General features: G+C 32.7%; 3 protein-coding genes and 1 long non-coding RNA gene across 6 annotated transcripts in view; all 4 read right to left on the reverse strand.

The window, feature by feature from the left end:
- PRH1-PRR4 (PRH1-PRR4 readthrough) overlaps positions 1–18410 on the reverse strand; it is a 325777-nt gene that overhangs the window by 148177 nt on the left and 159190 nt on the right. The gene's annotated exons all lie outside the window — the stretch shown is intronic.
- The window catches only part of PRH1 (proline rich protein HaeIII subfamily 1), a 290647-nt gene that overhangs the window by 113061 nt on the left and 159176 nt on the right, over positions 1–18410 (reverse strand). The window lies entirely within an intron of this gene.
- Positions 1–18410, reverse strand: part of PRH1-TAS2R14 (PRH1-TAS2R14 readthrough) — a 234202-nt gene that overhangs the window by 56616 nt on the left and 159176 nt on the right. The window lies entirely within an intron of this gene.
- On the reverse strand, positions 1936–4279 carry TAS2R20 (taste 2 receptor member 20). Its single transcript, NM_176889.4, has one exon. It carries the CDS (start codon positions 3848–3850, stop codon positions 2921–2923), a length of 930 nt encoding a protein of 309 aa, NP_795370.2. The 5' UTR covers positions 3851–4279; the 3' UTR covers positions 1936–2920.

Here is an 18410-nt window from a genome sequence, read left to right on the forward strand (position 1 = left end):
CCTGTGCAACAGTGGAAATTATATGCTCATAGTCAGCCATGATTGGAGGGCATGAGCACATCTGAATGGCACAAGGAGTGGACTGCATGGGACACAAACATGTGCTTCCTCAGATTTACTTGACTGTCTCCTATTCCCCTGGTCAGCACCTTGCCTGACCCACATCACCCTTCCATTTGGGACTTGAATGGATCACCACATTGTGGGCATGAGGTCTGACTTTCATAACCTCCATCAAGGGATTGGATGATGGAAAGCAGAACAGCAGAGATGGTAGTTCTGCCTCAGGGAAACCCTGGCCAGTGGGAAATAGAAGACAGAAGACAGCTGAGCAGATATATTCTCCGTCCTCTGTTGCTTCCATGGGCTAATGCTGGCTGTGTTGTCCTCTCGCAGCCCTTCTGAAAAAGTCCTGGGAGCCAAGTGCATGCATCTGATAACCACCATGCTGTCTCTCTCACATCATTGTGAAGTGGTCGTCAGCAGAGTCATATCACACATTACAGCACATAGTGTCACATCTTCTCTTGACTCAATTTCCACATGTCCCAGCCATTTCTGCAGTGGACCTCCTTCCAAATAAATGTCATCACTTTAATATCAGACATTTGCTCTACTTCTAGACCCCTGATAAGATATTCATTCAGTGTTATAATTATTATTCATTCATTTTTCCATCAGTTTATAATATGGTGATTAAAGTGGTCATTTAGAAAGGATATTAAAAATACTAAATAAAGATTATATTTTAGTAAGATAGTTGGTAACTAAATTTTTTAAATGAAATGTCATTTTTGTTTATATAATAACCAGCTAGAAATACCACAATATAAATATATCATTCGCAATAGAAAAGATATGTGCACTTATACAAAAATCTTTTATATGCTTAGTAAAAAGTATTGTAATAAATGCCATCTTTTTATTTTCCACTTTGTCTTTGTGTCACACATCTGATATAGCTGCATCACTGCTATATTATAGTGATATTTCCCCTAGAATTGTGGAATAGCCAAACTTTTGCTCTGAGAAATTCTTCTTCTTCTTGGATAATCCTGTAACTTCAATCTGAAACCAGAACAGAAATGTGCACCCAACTGTAGATTTTGTGATGTGTTACATTTTCATTGGTTCACCACCCCAATATAGTTCATATTCATTCATTCACCAATTAACTTGTTCATCAAAGTATCATTTTTCAATACCTATTCTATGTGCTATCTTTATGTCTTGGGAGTCTACAGTAAGCAAGATCTATATGATCTCTACTTTTATGGTATTTACATTGTACCAGGTAAGATATATGATAAACAAACAAATCAGATGTGGAGATGATTTATCTTAAGGTTTAGATAATATTGTTAAAATTGCATAACACCAGAAATTAATACAGTCACACAGAATTTAGCTGTTGAACTAGGTTATACATTTTCTTCTTGTAATAGAACTTGCTATTAGTGAATATGTCAACACACTTTCTCTCATTTCATTATTTACACCAAGATTATAATAAAACATATCTTTAAGACATTTCCTATCATTAATATATAGATTTCATAGATGCCATAGTTTCTATACCCTCTTTAGATTGAGCTTCTTTTTAAAGTAAGGAAAATTTGAGCTTTTTGAGGAATTTTAAGGATGGAAGATAAAGGAGGAAATTGACAATTCAGGAGCTCAGAGGTGGCTTAGACAAAAAACTGAAATATATAACATCAGATCTCAACTTCAAAAAGGTTTTTGTTTAATTCAAAAACTGGAAGAGATGACTTTTCTAATTGCGTATGGAAACTTATAACAGCACTGAAAAGAGCTCATGATCATGTTTCTTCATCCTTTTTATAGAAATGATTTTTTCTAAGCTATTAACATACTATATTAAATATAATATTCCTCAGTATTGCTTTTGATACACATAAAAATGTACACTAGATATATTTTTCACCCTTGAATTTTATTTTGTGCATTGTTATCTAACAATAATTGTATTTGCTTTATATTAAACATAAAATAAGAATTCATCATGAATGTCTATAATCCCAGCACTTTGGGAGGCTGAGGCAGTGGATCACTTGAGGTCAAGAGTTCGAGACCAGCCTGGCCAGCATGGTGAAACCCCATCTCTACTAAAAAAAAAAAGAAAAATACAAAAAATTAGCCACGTGTGGTAGCGCATGCCTGGAGTCCCAGCCACTCAGGAGGCTGACGCATGGAAATCACTTGAACCCCAGAGGTGAACGTTGTGGTGAGCCAAGATTGTGCTACTGCATTCCAGCCTGGACAACAGGGCAAGACTCCATCTCAAAAAAAAGAAAAAAAGAATTCATGATTAAAAAAAAAACAAAAAAACCTACCCCAAAGACACATTCTCATCGATTTAGAATTAAATGTCCTTACCATCCAAAAAATTAGAGGTTCAAACAATGATAGTTAAACAGTTAAACACACTATGGTACATATACGTGATACAAATTACAACGAAAAACAGCAATGATTTTACAACGAAAAACAGCAATGATTTTCTGATATAAGCTGTCAGTTCTTAATTATAAATAGAGATCATAAATTCCTCAAATGAAATATCATATAAAAAAATGTGTGAAATACACATGGGTTCATAATTCTGAGAAATTTCTTATCCTACTTTGGTATAACTGAACAGTTTATATGAAAAGTTGATTAAAGGTATGTTATGGTAAATATTAAATTTTCATATACATTCAGACATACACACACACGCAAATGTATATTATATATATATACTTTTATATAATAAACTTAGGTAAAAGACTTTTCTATGTCAACTTTTGGAAATTACTCAAATACATAGACTACGGAAAAACTTGTGGGAAATATAAAATGTTCCAGACACCATCAATTTGTTTTCTGCTAGAAAACACACAATGCACCTCTTGTGAATCTATGGAGTTGACTGGTTCTGTCCTTTTGCCCAGCAAGTCACCTGCCACAAAACTGAAAGAAAGGTCTGCTTTAGCGTCTTGTTCCCCCAAATCAGAATGAATGAGTGGAATGATGGATATATGATTCCAAAAGCTTGGCAAAGCATTAAGACAATTTCTTTTGGTCGCATCTTAAAATTCCAAAACGATATGATTAGACACAGAAAGTAAATGGCAAGTAATATGAGGAAGGAGGTCACAGTTTGCAGAGCTTTTATGTGGATCTTGGTGCTGGGATCTTGAGATCCTTTGCCATGGAGCTGCATCTTCTTCAGATGTTTACACAGAGAGTAGATTAACAGCAGAAAAGATATCAGGGTCAGAGTGAATGGTATCAAGTTTGCTAGCATGGCTACAGTCAAGTTGGAAAGGTGCATTGCATTCCTCAGTTTGATCTTCCAAGTTACGTTTCCTTCACATTCTTCTGTCCACACATTTATATACGTGTGTTTCATCACAAGGTGACAAACCAAAAAGAACAAAGACCCCAACACTATCACCAGAACTACACTCTTAGCCTTCCTTTTTAAGTGATGAAAAATAAGTCTGGAGAAATTGACGATCTTGAGCAAATAAAATATGCTGAGGCTAGTAGCAAGCCAGATGCTGAAATGATTGGTTACTGCCCAGGCATTAGAAATAAAAATTATTACTTTTAAATTAGATGAAGTTGGATTCAACACAGTTGAATACCAATGTAATAATATTACCCAGAGCAAACCAACTCTGGAGACTGCCAGAGCAGCAATAATTTGATCAGCTGAGGAGATCTTTTGTCTCTTGACCCAGGCAATGAAATTTATCAGTGCTATAAAGCCATTGGCAAAATTTCCAAGAATAAATGCAACCACTACTAGAATGGAAAAAACAATGTGTAGAAAACTCATCATGTCTAAACAAAAAAGCAAGTAAAAAATTCAGGCCTAATGTCACTGATGGTGACTCCTCTGATATTCAAGACTTTAAGTTAAATATGCACTTGATTCCTGAATGTCCAATAACATTCTTTATACTTTTAAATTCTGTGAACAATGTCAACAGAAAAGCACCAGCTTAAACTAATGAATGAGTTCAATGCTGCCTTTATGGGAAATACTGTTAGTCCCAAAACAACTCAAATTAATTCTTATTCATAAAGTCTCTATTCTTGCTATAGGCTGAAATTTTTCATACTGATGTTGAAGGGAAAGCTGAATTCTCATTTGCTAGCATTCAAATAAAGACATATCCTCTTTCATTGCTTTGCAATTTTTTCCTTGTTTCACCTTTCCATAATTTGTGTTCAGCCCTTCAGTTGTTGGGGAAATTTTAATACCCAGTACATAGATGACACAAAAAATATATTGTTAAAAGAGCCTGGTGAAATCTAGGATCAAAATCACTATGGATTTATTTTTAAAGCCAGATTTAAATACACAGAATCTAAACTTTTTATCAAAATCACCTAAGATTTTCTTGGAAACCACAGGAAAGCCAATACTCCTTATAATTTGGTTGCTGTTAACCAATACTTCTATATGGCATCACTATTAACAAGCTCATAAACACACACACAGACACACACACACTTTCACTCTTCAAGGATGGAAGGAATTGCTTTCTTGTAACTTATGACATGGAAAATGAGTTTCCAGGAGCTCGTCCTGGTGGAATTAGTCCTATTTTTCCCATGCCAGATTTTCAGCCAATGAATAATATTCATGAAACATATCTCTCATGCTTAGGCTTTTGGTAATGCTACCTGCAAGCTTGTAAACATTCCTGAGTACCAGACCTTTGTCACATAATTTTGCAGTGTCCTCCCACCACAGGCATAGTGACAACCTTGCACTAGGGCTCTGAGTTCGATCATGTAATTTGCTTTGATGAACAGAAAATTACTACACTTTACATCGAAATTTGAGATGACCTCCACATTAGGCTTTCTTGTTCCTTTCCGGTTTATAATGAGAACATGTCCACACTAACACACTGTTCCCAGAATAAGAATGAGTAACTCATGGAATCATATGGCTCCTGCCTGATCCAGCCTTAAATCGGCCAAACTCTAACTAGATCCAAGAGGCAAAACTTGGACCATCTCAAATCACCAGAGCCATCCACCAAACCCCAGCTTAAGAAAACAGAATCCAAAAACATGTGAGATATAAATATCTAATGTGGTTTTGGAGAAGTTTCTTTTGCAGAAAAAGCTAAGTGATATAGGTACTCTGCTAATCCAAGAGTTTGAGAAATATGTGCGCCCTTGTTGTGTCAGAAATTCAGGAGCCAAAGGAAAAATAGGTTGGAAATATCAAAGTTTTTGTAATATGAGGTGAATATCTAAAACTAGAAGAAAACTTTTGGAAAGATCTGGAGGCTGTAGGTAACAGCATCTCAAATTTCTCCATTTTGCAACTAAAATAAGAATTCACTTTAGCTCTCTTGAGTTGTATAAGAATGTACGTAAATGGTGGATTTTCCCCCTAGGTATATAATGAGCAGAGCAATTAATAATTTTTACGTGACATTTCTCCCAATTTGTAATTTTTTAAATAAAATTATAATGCACACTTAGAAATGGGCCAAAACAAAAATAGGTAAGAGCAATGTATCATAAACACTTATGTAACCATCATGCAGGATAAGACATGGAACACTGCAAACAGACTAGGTCCACTTCCAGGCCACTTTCCAAGCCCCTAAACCTTTATTCACATCTCCTGAGATAAGCAATATTCATAATCTATGATGATCATTTGCTTGAATTTCTTTATACTTTACCAGCTAGGTTCACAACCCTAAACTCCACAGCTTGGTCTGTCCTGCTTTGAACTGTGTATAGGTGCAGTCCTGTGTGTTCTTCTTGTTCATGGCTTCTTGCACTAGATATCATGTTTCTGAAATTTAGTTACATAGTTGCATGTACATGTGATTCATTTCTTTTCACCTCTATATACTGTTCCACTGTATGGATTTACTGTAATCTTTCATATCATTCAATCATCCTTAGTTAATATATATTTGGGCAGTCTATTTTTGAGCTATTATGAATAATACTACTATCAGCATTATTTCACATATCATTTGATGCAATTCCTATTATGGGGTCATTAAATGTGGTGTTCAAATTATCCTCACAGACATAGAAAAGTGCAAAAAATAATTTATCTAAATTTGTTCCTGTCACCTTTACCTCCAGTCTCTTTATCGCTATTTGCATATATCTTATCAATAATATATTTAACTCAGCAAGACGCTATTATTTTATTCAGTCAACATTCATTTAGAATTATGCACATATTTATCATTTCTGTTAATTTTTATTCCTTCTTGCATGCTTAACCTTGTATTTTCAATATTTTTTATCTGAAAAATATCATTTGGATTTCTGTTTATGAAGGTCCTCTATTCTTTTGAAACACACTAAAGACATGATTCCATTGAATTCTACTTTCCATTTTTCTGTTGAAAATCAGGTTGTCATTTAGAAAGTTGTTCCTTTTAAAATAATCTATCTTTTCCTCTGGCTACTTTTCAGATTTTCTACTGGTCTTTGATGTCTTGTGACATTTTATGTTAATTTGTTTTTAGTTATCTTGTCTGACCTTTGATGGTTACTAAAAATATATGGATTAATACATTTTATCACTTTTGGGAAAATCTCCACAACATTGATTCTGCCCTATTTTATCCCTTTTAATCTTCCAGAAATCCAGAAGTATGTTAGATGCTCTGATTGTAGCATCAATGCCTCTTATCCTCTTAGCTTGGCATTCTTTGTCTTGTGGTCTCTTTAGGCTTCTTTCTTTATAGTTGTCTTCCAATTCACTAATTCTCTCTTCTATGTCTAACTGGTTGTTAACTCTGTCTATTGGATTCTCAATATTGATTATTTATTTTTTGCTATTATTGTTTTAGTAGCAGAAATTATATTTTGTTCTCCTTCTATAAATCATTATCTATGGAGAAGCAGAACAAAGCACTCTTACCACCAAGTTTTTTAAAAAAAGTTGGGTTCTTTGTTCAGTTGGTTGGCTTTGTTTTTTTGTTTTTCGTATGCTTGACATGAAAATGCTAACAATTTTCTTCTTTTCCCAAGACTTTGGTCACAAAATAGAATAAAAGCTTGGTCTACACATCCTTCCGCAAGTTGGAAGAACCTGGAAATTGATGTGATGTTAGTAGCTTTTTTTTTTAGGGGGGGATAGCAGCTTGTCTGTTGATGAGTCTTCACCACAAACTCTCCCCACAGGGAAATTCAATGAGCTGTGCTGGATCTCAAGATGCCATTCCAATAAATAAATTATAGCACCTCAACCCTAGCTACACCATTCTATTTTACAAATTAAATTTTACTCTTTTTTTATTAGCAGAAGTGGAGCTCTGTACCTTCAAACTTCTTCACTATCAGGTGAGATATAGAAGATGTGAGGGCTTACTTCTATTTGATTTATTTAGTCCTAAAATTCTCACTTTAGATGTGCCAGCAACCTGTGTGGGCTGATGACTTGGGGCAGGATGGGAGAATGCCAGGGGATAGATGCACAAAGGACTGGACACCTCCTTGCCTCCTCCCATCCTCCTCAAAACTTCAGCACAACTCTGAAGCAAAGTGTGCTTGTGGGAGAACCCAGAGTTGCTTAAGATTTAATTTCTGCCATCAGGTTAATGGAGCACCTAGGGAAATTAAGCTGAGTTTTAAAAATATCCAGAAAGTTAAATTTGTTGTACATGTGAGTTTCTGAACTGCGATTAGGCTTTACTTTACCTGGCATCAGGGAGTGTTATAAATCAATTATTTAAATATTCATGTAAGGTGTAAAAAGGAGTAGAAGTACACGTATCAAATTTCCATAAATAAACTTTGCAATATAAACGTAATTTATACTATTAATTCTTTGTCAATAAAATGTGGAAAGGTTAAAAAATAAATAAAATAAAACCTTCACTTTAGAAGTAAGAGCTTGATCATGAAGTGGCTTATTTATCTTTCTAATTAAGGAATTTTATTAACACCGCAACTAAATCTTTCCTATAGTGTTCCTAAGATCAGTTTAAGGTTATCTATAATGATTTGCTTAAGCAATGTATTTTAAACTAAACTATACTTAAAAATGTATTTGGTTCAACTTGAAATTTTCCATTTTCTAATCTAACTTTCCCATAATAATAATCTTTTAAACATTTATTAGACATTATCCAAATTATTTATGTAAACATTTCAAAAATAAATCATTTAATGAGATAGATATAGATGATGATTGGTGATGATGATAATGTCAGTTAAAAGGGGCCATGCTCTTCTATAAATGTGACTTCAATCATGTTTTCTAAGTGCTGCGTTTCAGGGTGATGGGCTCATGAACTTGTTTCTTATATTATTCTCAGCATCAGGCACAGACAAAGATCCTCAGACAGTATTTCATTAAGAATAAGTTAAAACCAATGTATTTCCAATGATTTACTGGCTATTTTTTTTTCTTTTACCACATTCTGAAAATCATGACAAAAGTGCCCTACAACAAAGAGTATTCTCCTTTGGGCTGTTTAATTTTCACTGTACTTTCATATGAACTTCATATATACAAATCCTCTATACAATTATATAGCATACAAACTGTATTTTATCTTTTAATAGTATCATTAGCAGGCAAAATTCTCTCAACTGCTTATTTACAATCTCAGCTACTGTCACTAAATCTGGGTTATTTTACTATAGCAGTCAAAGTAATACTACATATACACAAGCACACTCAAAGATTACACTAAATATGTTTTATAGCTTAACAGTTATCTTTCTATGTTTTCTTCTCTAATACAGTTGAAAAATTTATAGTAACAAAATATTTTCCCCAACACATATGCTGTGCACATGCATAGTATTGTGATCTTTGAATGGGAACAACATGAGTATAATTATTTCATTTAGGGATAAATGTAGCAAAAATTGTCCTATACACTTAATATCTATAGTCCTACATACTTTAATATTTGTACCTTATGAAAAATTCCCTAATTGCTGCCAATTTGAAACGTGTATCATGAATAATTAAATTGGAAACAAGAAAAAAGTCTATTGCAATATAGTTGTTCAAAATCTATTGTTTCAAATTAAGATTAGCATTAAGAATGTGGATGTACACTTCCTGCTTATATCTTTCTTTTTTAAATTAATTTTTAAAAGTATAAAATTTTATCCCTATTTCTTACTACTATAATGCTGTATTCTTTATTCAGCAAAACTCTAATTACGATGGTACATGTAAGAATATATTGTTTCAGCCTAGTTTTATATTCATTAATTTACTTAATATTTCTGCTTTTAAAATATTTTCATTATTCGGGAACCTAACATATGTAGGGAAAGCAATAAAACCTAAATGCACAGTAAAAGGAAAAAAGAATGTAACATTAACACTCATATTCCACACTTTCGTCAAAAAGTAGAATTTGCCAGCAATGAAGACATTCCCCATATATGCTTTCTTGTTGATATGATTTCCCTTTTGTTTCCTCCCTCCCAAGTATCCCAGTTATGATAATCACTTATATGTTTCGCTTTACAGTTTTGCCACCAATGTAATAAATTATAAGAATTTATTTCAAATTATAAGAATTATAAAAACTTAAAATAAAATTTCTTTTATGAGAAGTTATAATTTCTTTTATAAAATGTTATAATTTCTTTGGTAAGGAGTTATAAGAATTTATAATTTCTTTTATAAGCAATTATAAGAATTTATTTGCAAAAATACAAAAATATTCTTGCAAATTTCATATAAATGTGATTATATTGAATGTTTTTGATGTTAATAATTACTATTATATCTGTATATATTACTATGCTATCCATGTAAATCAAATTTATTCACTTTCCTTTTCATATATATTCTTTGTAAACATGTCCCTCTAGTTTGTTCATTTTGATTGCTGTATAGCATTCTGTAAGTATGTCATAATTTATTTATCCATTTTATTACTGATGGTCATTTGGGAGACTTCTCAACTTTAGCTATTAAAACTCAGCGATATATACTTGTATATGTATTCTGATATGAGTGCAAATCCTGGGTCTTAGGATGTGATCCTTCATCTTATTCAAATAATGTCACACTCAGACAAAGTAATTGCACTGATTTATAATCCTAGGAGCAGTGTATGAAAATTCCCACTGCTTCATATGCTCTCCAAAATTAGTAGAGTAATTTTTGCACTTTCATATTTATATAAAATATAATTAAACTTGGCCAGGCACGGTGGCTCACGCCTGTAATCCCAGCACTTTGGGAAGCCAAGGTGGGTGAATAACCTCAGGTATGGAGTTCAAGGCCAGCCTGGCCAAGATGGTGAAAAAATACTAAAATACAAAAAATACTAAAAATACAAAAATTAGCCTGGTGTGGTGATGCACACCTGTAATCCCAGCTATTCAGGAGGCTGAGGCAGGAGAATTGAGTGAACCCGGAGGCGGAGGTTGCGGTGAGCTGAGATCACACCACTGCACTCCAACCTAGACCACGAAGTGAGACTGTCTCAAAAATAAATAAAATATTATTAAACTTAACATTTTACAAACCTTTTTCTATTATAATTCAGAATGCATCTTTAGTTGAAAAATTACATCACTCTTAATTCTATGACTATAATTTCATGCACATTTATTAGGGATTAATTATATATTTCATACATTTATTTGTTCATATTTCATTATTAATTTTTCTAATTTTTTCTTGAAGTTTCAAATACTTTTTTGTTATGAACAAGTGTAATTATACTGGAGATATTTCCTTTAATCAATCATTACGTCAAATGACTTTGAGAAAATATGATTAGTTCATGGCATATTGTAGGGGAAATTTCAGGATTGTTTAACAACTCCTAAAAGGAAACAAAGAAAAAATATTAAAATATAAAAATAGTCTATAAGTTTAATAATAGCTGTCCATGGTAAAACACAAATTCTACCATTACCAGTATGGAAAACATGATTGGTATCAACATATCATGTCTGAATTCTTTTTAAGGCAGGCCTAATATCATTGGATAAGATTCCCTTTAAGGTCCTGACATTAAATTCTATGTGCACCTGATTTCTGAATGTGCATTAACGCTCTTGTTCTTTTTAAATTCTCTGACCAGTGTCAAACAGGAAAGCACCAGGGCATGCTAATGAATGAATTCAATGCTGTCTTTATGGAAAACATGATAATTTCTAAAACAGTTCAAATTAACTTCTATTCAAACACTATGTCCTGGCTATAAGATGAAATTTTTCATACTGATGTTGAAGTGAAAAATGAGTTCTCATTTGCTAGCATGCAAATAAAGACATATTCTGTTTCCTTGTTTTGTAGTACTTTTCCTTGTTTAACCTCTCCATAATTTGTGTTCAGCAATGTCAGTTGTTAGGGAAATTTTAAAAAGCAACACATAGTTCCTACATTGGATATCTAAATTGTTAAAAGGAACTTTGTTGTAACTAGAATCATGACCACTGTGGATTGATTTTTTAAATGTCAGATTTATGTAAACAGAATCCAAAGTTTTCTTATCAAAAGAATCCAAGGTTTTCTTGGAAAGTGCAAAAAGGCCAATACTCTTTAAAATCTGCTTGCTGCTAATATGTTTGTATAAGTCTATTGTTAACAAGCTCATTAACACAAACACACACATGCATACACGCCCCTCATGGATGGGAGGAATTATTGTGCTGTAATTTCCAAAATGGAAAACCAATTTCAGGCAAGTCGTCCAGGTTGAAATAGCCCTATTTTCCCTCTCACCCTTTTCAGTCAATTTTCAATATTTATAAACTTATCTCTCGTGCTTAAGCTTTTGAATAAGTTATTCTCTCGAATCTAGCTAATATTTAAATATGAATTGTTTAATTAAAATATTCAGCAATTTTTAAAATATTCCTTGGGCACTTATTAAAAAATATGTATTTTCCACTGAAGACTCTAGACTTCCCTTGGTATGAATATTCACTTTTATTTTTCTGTTTAATTTATTTTTGATTATGCTATTAAGAAGAATAGATGTTAGTATTAGTCTCCAATCTTGTTTTTTACTTCTTTTTCAGGTTTTTACAGTATAATTGTTTCTAAGAGATCTTGGAGTCAGACTGCCAAGAGAGGAAACCAGTTTTTCTGCTTCATATACCGACGATTCTGAGACTCCATTTCACAACTGCTCTCTGCCTCAGTATGATCACCAAAAAACACAGATGATAATATTATCTTTGGGTAGTCTTTGTGAGGAGTTAGTATAGCATTTGTATAACTGCTTTCCATTTTACCTGTCTGGGACAGGAAAAAACAAAGATGGTTAGTTACTGATTTGATCCTGTGTTACTAGATATTTAGAAGGTGCCAGTGAAAACTTCCATTTCTTTTCTCCTTTTCTTTTTTTTTTTTTTTTTTTCTGAGACAGGCTCTTGCTCTCTCACCCAAGCTGGAGTGCAGTGGCACAATCATACCTCGCCGTAGTCTTGAACTCCTGGACACAAGTGATACTCTTGCCTTCCTGCCTCAGCTTGCCAAGTAACTGGAACTACAGGCATGCACCACCAAGCCTGCTAATTTTAACATTTTTGTGGAGACAAATTTCCAAGAACGAATGCAAACACACAGAGTTGACAAAATGATAAGTAGAAATTTTAACATGTCTGAAGAGACAAAAAGAAAGGAAAAATGCAGGCCTAATAACACAGATTGTGATTCCTTTAATATCTAGACCTTAAATTGGATATACACTTCATTCCTAAATGTGTAATAATATTCTTTGTGCTTCTAAATTATTTGACTAATGTCAACAGAAAAGCACCAGCATATGCTAATGGATGAGTTCAATGCTGCATTTATGGAAAATTTTCTTATTCCCAAAATAGCTGAAATTGAATCCTATTCCACTGTCTGTTCTTGCTATACGCTGAAATTTTTAAAACTGATGTTGAAGTGAAAGGTGAATTCCCGTTTGCTAGTATGCAAAAAAAGACATATTCTTTTTCATTGTTTTGCAATGTTTTTCCTTGTTTAACCTCTCCATAATTTGTATTCAGCATTTTCAGTTGTTTCATAGGGAAATTTTAAAACCCAATACATATGTCATACAGTAAATGTCTAAACTGTTAAAAGAGCTTGGTCATACCTAGGATCGTATAAATATGGATTTATTTTTTAATGCTAGATTTAAATATACAGAACCCAAACCTTTTATCAAAATCATCCAAGGTTTTCTTGGGAACCACAAGAAGGCCAATACGCCTTAAAATCAGGTTGCTGCTAACCAATACTTTTATATGACTTTATTGTTAACAAGCTCATAAACACAAAAACACACACTTAAACCCATTGGGGTTGGAAGGAATTATTTTCTTTTAATTTAAAAAAATGAAAAAATGAGTTTCCAGAAGGTCATCCAGGTGGAATTAGTTCTGTTTTCCCACTCAGGGTTTTCAGACCAGAATAATATTTATCAAACATATTTCTCATGCTTAGGCCTTTGGTAAAGTTACTCTCAAGTCTATTTAATGTTTAAATATTAATTATTTAATTAAACTATTCAGCTGTTTTGTAAATACTCTTGACTCCCTCATCCTTTGATATATTATCTTGCAGTGTCCTCCTGCCATAGGCAGGGTGACTACCTTGACCTTGGAATCTGAGCTCACTCATGTAATTTGCTTTGATGAACTGGAAATTAGTAAATTTTGTATACGTCTTTGAGATGGCTTCCACATTGGAGTTTCTTGCTCTTCTCCATTTACCACAAGCACATCCCCACACTAGTACACCATTCCCAGAAGCAGAATGAGAATGAGATCACCCCCTCCAGATGTAGCCTAAATTGGCCAAACTCTAACTTCAAGATGCAGAACATGGCCCATCTCAAATTACCAGAGTGATCCACCCAAACCCAGCTTAGGAAAATGGAATCTAAAGACATGTGAGATATAAATATCTAATGTAGTTTTGGAGAAGTTTCTTTTTAAAATGATGCTAAATGATAGAAATACTTTGCTAAGCCAAGAGAGTGGGAAATATGTCTACCCTTGTTGTGTCAAGAATCCTGAAGCCAAGGGAAAAATAGATGAGGAATATCAAAGTTTTGTCATGTGAGGTGCATAATTAAAGCTGAAAGAAAAAAACTGAAATAAAGCTACGGAAAAATACGGGGTTGGCAGGTGACATGATGTCAAATTTCTACAAGTTGTAACTAAAATAAGAAAGTTTCTACTTCAACTCTCTAGAGTTGTATAAGAATGCATATAAGTAGTTTCTTTTCCCCTTAGTACGTAATGAGAAGATTAATAATTTCTATGAGACATTTCTCCTAATTCAAAATTTTTATATTAAAATTATAATGCATACATAGAAATGTGCCAAAACAAAACTGGAAAACTGGGAAATAGAGCAATGTATCATAAACAGTCGAGTAACCATCATGTAGGGCAAGACAAGGAACACTGCAAACAGCCTAGTTCCACCTCCATGACACTTTCCAAGCCTCTATACCTTTCTTCATATCTCCTGAGGTAAGCAATATCCATTATTTGTGATGATCATTTCCTTGATTTTCTTTATACTTTATCAACAAGGTATGCAACCCTAAACTCAATAGCTTGGTTTGGCCTGCTTTGAACTGTGTATAGGTGCAATCCTATATGTTCTTATTCATGGCTTCCTGGACTTAACATTATGAATCTGAAATTTAATCAGACAGATGCATGTACATGTGATTTATTTCTTTTCATTTCTCTATATTGTTTAATTTTATGAATTTACTATAATTATCTATCCTTAGTTGATATATACTTGGACAGCTTCTTTTATGAACTATTATGAATAATGCTACTATGAGCATTCTTTCATATACATTTGCTACAATTCCTTTGCATATATGCCTAGGTATAGAATTATAGGGTCCTTGATTAAGATGTACAAATTCTGCCCACAGACATAGAAAAGTCCAAAAAATACTTTAACTAAATTTATTTCTGTAACTCCAGTCTCTTTATTACTATTTGCATATATCTTATCAATTACACCTTTAGTCCAACAAGAAGATACTATTATTTTAGATGGTAAACATTCACTTATAATTATGTACATATTTATCATTTTCATTAATTTTTATTCCTTCTTGCATGCTCAATTTTGTATTTTTGGTAGTTTATATTTTATCTGAAAAAATATCATTTTTAATTTCTGTCTATAAAAGTCTACTGTTCCTTGGAAACACACTGAAGATATGATTCCATTGAATTCCCGCTTTCATATTTTCTGTTGAAAATCAGTTTGTTATTTAGAATGTGGCTCTTTTTAACATAATCTACCTTTCACCTCTAGCTACTTTTCAGATTTTCTATTGGTCTTTGATGTCCTGTGTCATTTTATTTTAAATTTTTTAGTTATCTTGTCCAAAATTTGATGGCTCCTAAATATATAGAGATGGAAATATATACATTTCATCATTTTTGGAAAAATTTCCCAAACATTGCTTTTGCCCCATTTCTCATCTCTAATCCTCCAGAACTCCAGAAGTATGTTAGATATTCTGACCATAGCGTCAGTGTCTCTTACCCTCCAGCCTTGTATTTTTCTGGAGTTGTTAGTACTCTAGCCATGAAAATAGTAACAATTTTCTTCTATTCCCAACTCTGGTCAGATAATAGAATAAAAGCTTGGTCTAGCCATGTTCCTGCAATTTTAAAGAAACCGGATATTAATTTGATGTGAGTAGCTTTTTCTGGAAAACAGCTTGTCTGTTGCTGGGTCCTCACACAAACTCTCCTCATATGGAAATTCAATAAGCAGCTTTGGATCTCAAAATGCAATTCCAATAAATAAAAAATAGTCCCTAAACCACAACTACATCATTCTATTTTATGAACTAATTTTTACTTTGTTTATGTTGTAGAAATGGGGCTCTGTGACTTTGAACTCCATCATTACCCAAGCGAGATAGAGAAGATGTGAGGGCTTACTTCTGTTTGATTTATTTAATCTAAAATCCTCTCTTTAGGAATAAGAGCTTGATCATGAAACAGTTTAATTGCCTTTCTAATTAAGGAATTTTATTTACACTAAAATCAAACTCTTTCTTATAGCCTTCAATGGATTAGTTTAAGGTCATCTACAATTACTTGCTTAAGCAATGCATTTTAAACTAAACTTCACTTAATTTCTAAATCTAAATGTATTCAGCTTGACTTGAGCTTTGCTTTTACTAATGCAAATTTCCCAAAATGATAATCTTTTAAAAATGTCTTAGACATTATCAAAATCATGTACAATGAAAAATAAATCATTTAATGAGATAGGTGTAGATGATTGATGATGATGTTGATGTCAGCTAAAAGGGACTATTTTATTCTGTAAATGTGACTTCAATCATGTTTCCTAAGTGCTGGAATTCAGGGCAATGGGAGAACACTATTTTAATTTTTCTTCATGGCCTTATAATTCTTATATTATTCTCAGTATCAGGTCTAGACAAACACCCTCAGGTAATATTTCATCAAGAATAACTTAAAACCAACATATTCCCAATGATTTACTTGATATTGTTTCATTTTACCACATTCTAAAGTGTGGTACAATAAAAAATACTTCGCCTTAATCAGGTAATGCCATATTCAGCCAAAGTAATTGTACTTTATAATCCTAAGAGTAGTGTATGAAAATTTCTATTGTGTCATATCCTTTCCAAAATTAGTAACATCAGATTAAATTTTACACTGATATTTACATACACTATTATTAAAGTTAACATTTTAGAAACATTTTTCTATTATAATTCAGAATGTATTTTTAGTTCAAAAAATTATGTTGCTTTTTAATTACATGACTGATTTCATGCACATTTATTAAGAATGAATTATATATTCCATATATTTATTCATATTTCTTTATTAATTTCTCTATTTTTTCTTGAAGTTTCAAATACTCTTGTTATGAGCAGGTGTAATTATACTACACATATTTCTTTAATCAATCATTATGTCAAATGAATTTGAGAAATTATGATTAGTTTGTAGCATATTGTAAGGGAAATTTCAGGATTGTTTAACAACTCCTAAAAGAACTCAAAGGAAAAAAATGTTAAAATGTAAAAGTAGTCTATAAGTTTAACGTAGGTGTCCACAGGAAAAAATAAATTCTACCATTACTAGCACAAAAAAAGATTGGTAATAAACCTACCATGTCTGAATTTTTTTAAGGCAGGCGTATTATCACTGGACAAGATTCTCTGTAAGGTCCTGACCTTAAATTCTATGTGCACCTGATTTCTGAATGTGCAGTAATGTTCTTTTTCCTTTTACATTCTCTGACCAGTGTCAAACAGGAAAGCACCAGGGTGTGCTAATGGATGAGTTTGAGGCTGTCTTTATGGAGAACACAATAATTCCCAAAACAGCTCAATTAAATTTCTATTCAAACACTATGTCCTGGCTATAAGATGAAATTTTTCATGCTGTTGTTGAAGTGAAAGGTGAATTCTCATTTGCTAGCATGCAAATACAGACATATTTTCCTTCATTGTTTTGCAATATTTTTCCTTGTTTAACCTCTCCATAATTTGTGTTCAGCAATGTCAGTTGTTATGGAAATTTTAAAACCCAACTCATAATTCCTACATTGGATGTCTAAACTGTCATATGGAACTTGGTCATAACCAGAATCATGACCACTGTGAATTTATTTTTTCAATGTCAGATTTATGTAGACAGAATCCAAAGTTTTCTTATTAAAAGACTCCAAGGTTTTCTTGGGAAGCCCAGGAAGGCCAACATTCCTTAAAATCTGGTTGCTGCTAACTAATACTTTTGTATAACTTTATTCTTAACAAGCTCATTAACACAAACTTATGTGCCCACACACATACATGCTCCTCATGGATGGGAGGAATTATTGTCCTGTAATTTCCAAAATGGAAAATGAATTTCAGGCAGGTCATCCAAGTTGAAATAGCCCTAATTTCCCAATCATGTTTTCAGCCCATTTTCAATATTTATAAACTTGTGTCTCATGCTTAGGCTTTTGAGTAAGTCATTTTCTTGAGTCTAGTTAATATTTAAATATGAATTGTTTAATTAAAATATTTAGCAATTTTGTAAATATTCCTTGGGCACTTAAAAAACATGTGTATTCCATTGAAGAGCCTACACTTCTCTGTATGTGAATTTTCACTTTTATTTTTCTCTAATGTATTTTTTATTATTTAATGGTTTAAGATGAATAGATGTTAAAAATCGGTCTTCAATATTGGATATTATTTCTTTCCAGTTGTTATAGTATAATTGTTTCTAGGAGAAGATCTTGGAGTCAGTCTGCCAGGACAGGAAGCCAGATTTTCTGCTTTATATAGCTATGATCTGAGACTCCATTTTACGAATTCTCTCTACCTCAGTATAATTATGTATAAAACGCAGATGATAATAATACTCTGGGTAGTCCTTATGAG

The sequence above is a fragment of the Homo sapiens genome, chromosome 12, assembly GCF_000001405.40.
Source record: "Homo sapiens chromosome 12, GRCh38.p14 Primary Assembly".
NCBI classification, from domain to species: Eukaryota; Metazoa; Chordata; class Mammalia; order Primates; family Hominidae; genus Homo; species Homo sapiens.

Coding starts and splice junctions, on each gene's coding strand:
- TAS2R20 (NM_176889.4), bottom strand. CDS start 3,850: ATGATGAGTTTTCTACACATTGTTTTTTCCATTCTAGTAGTGGTTGCA.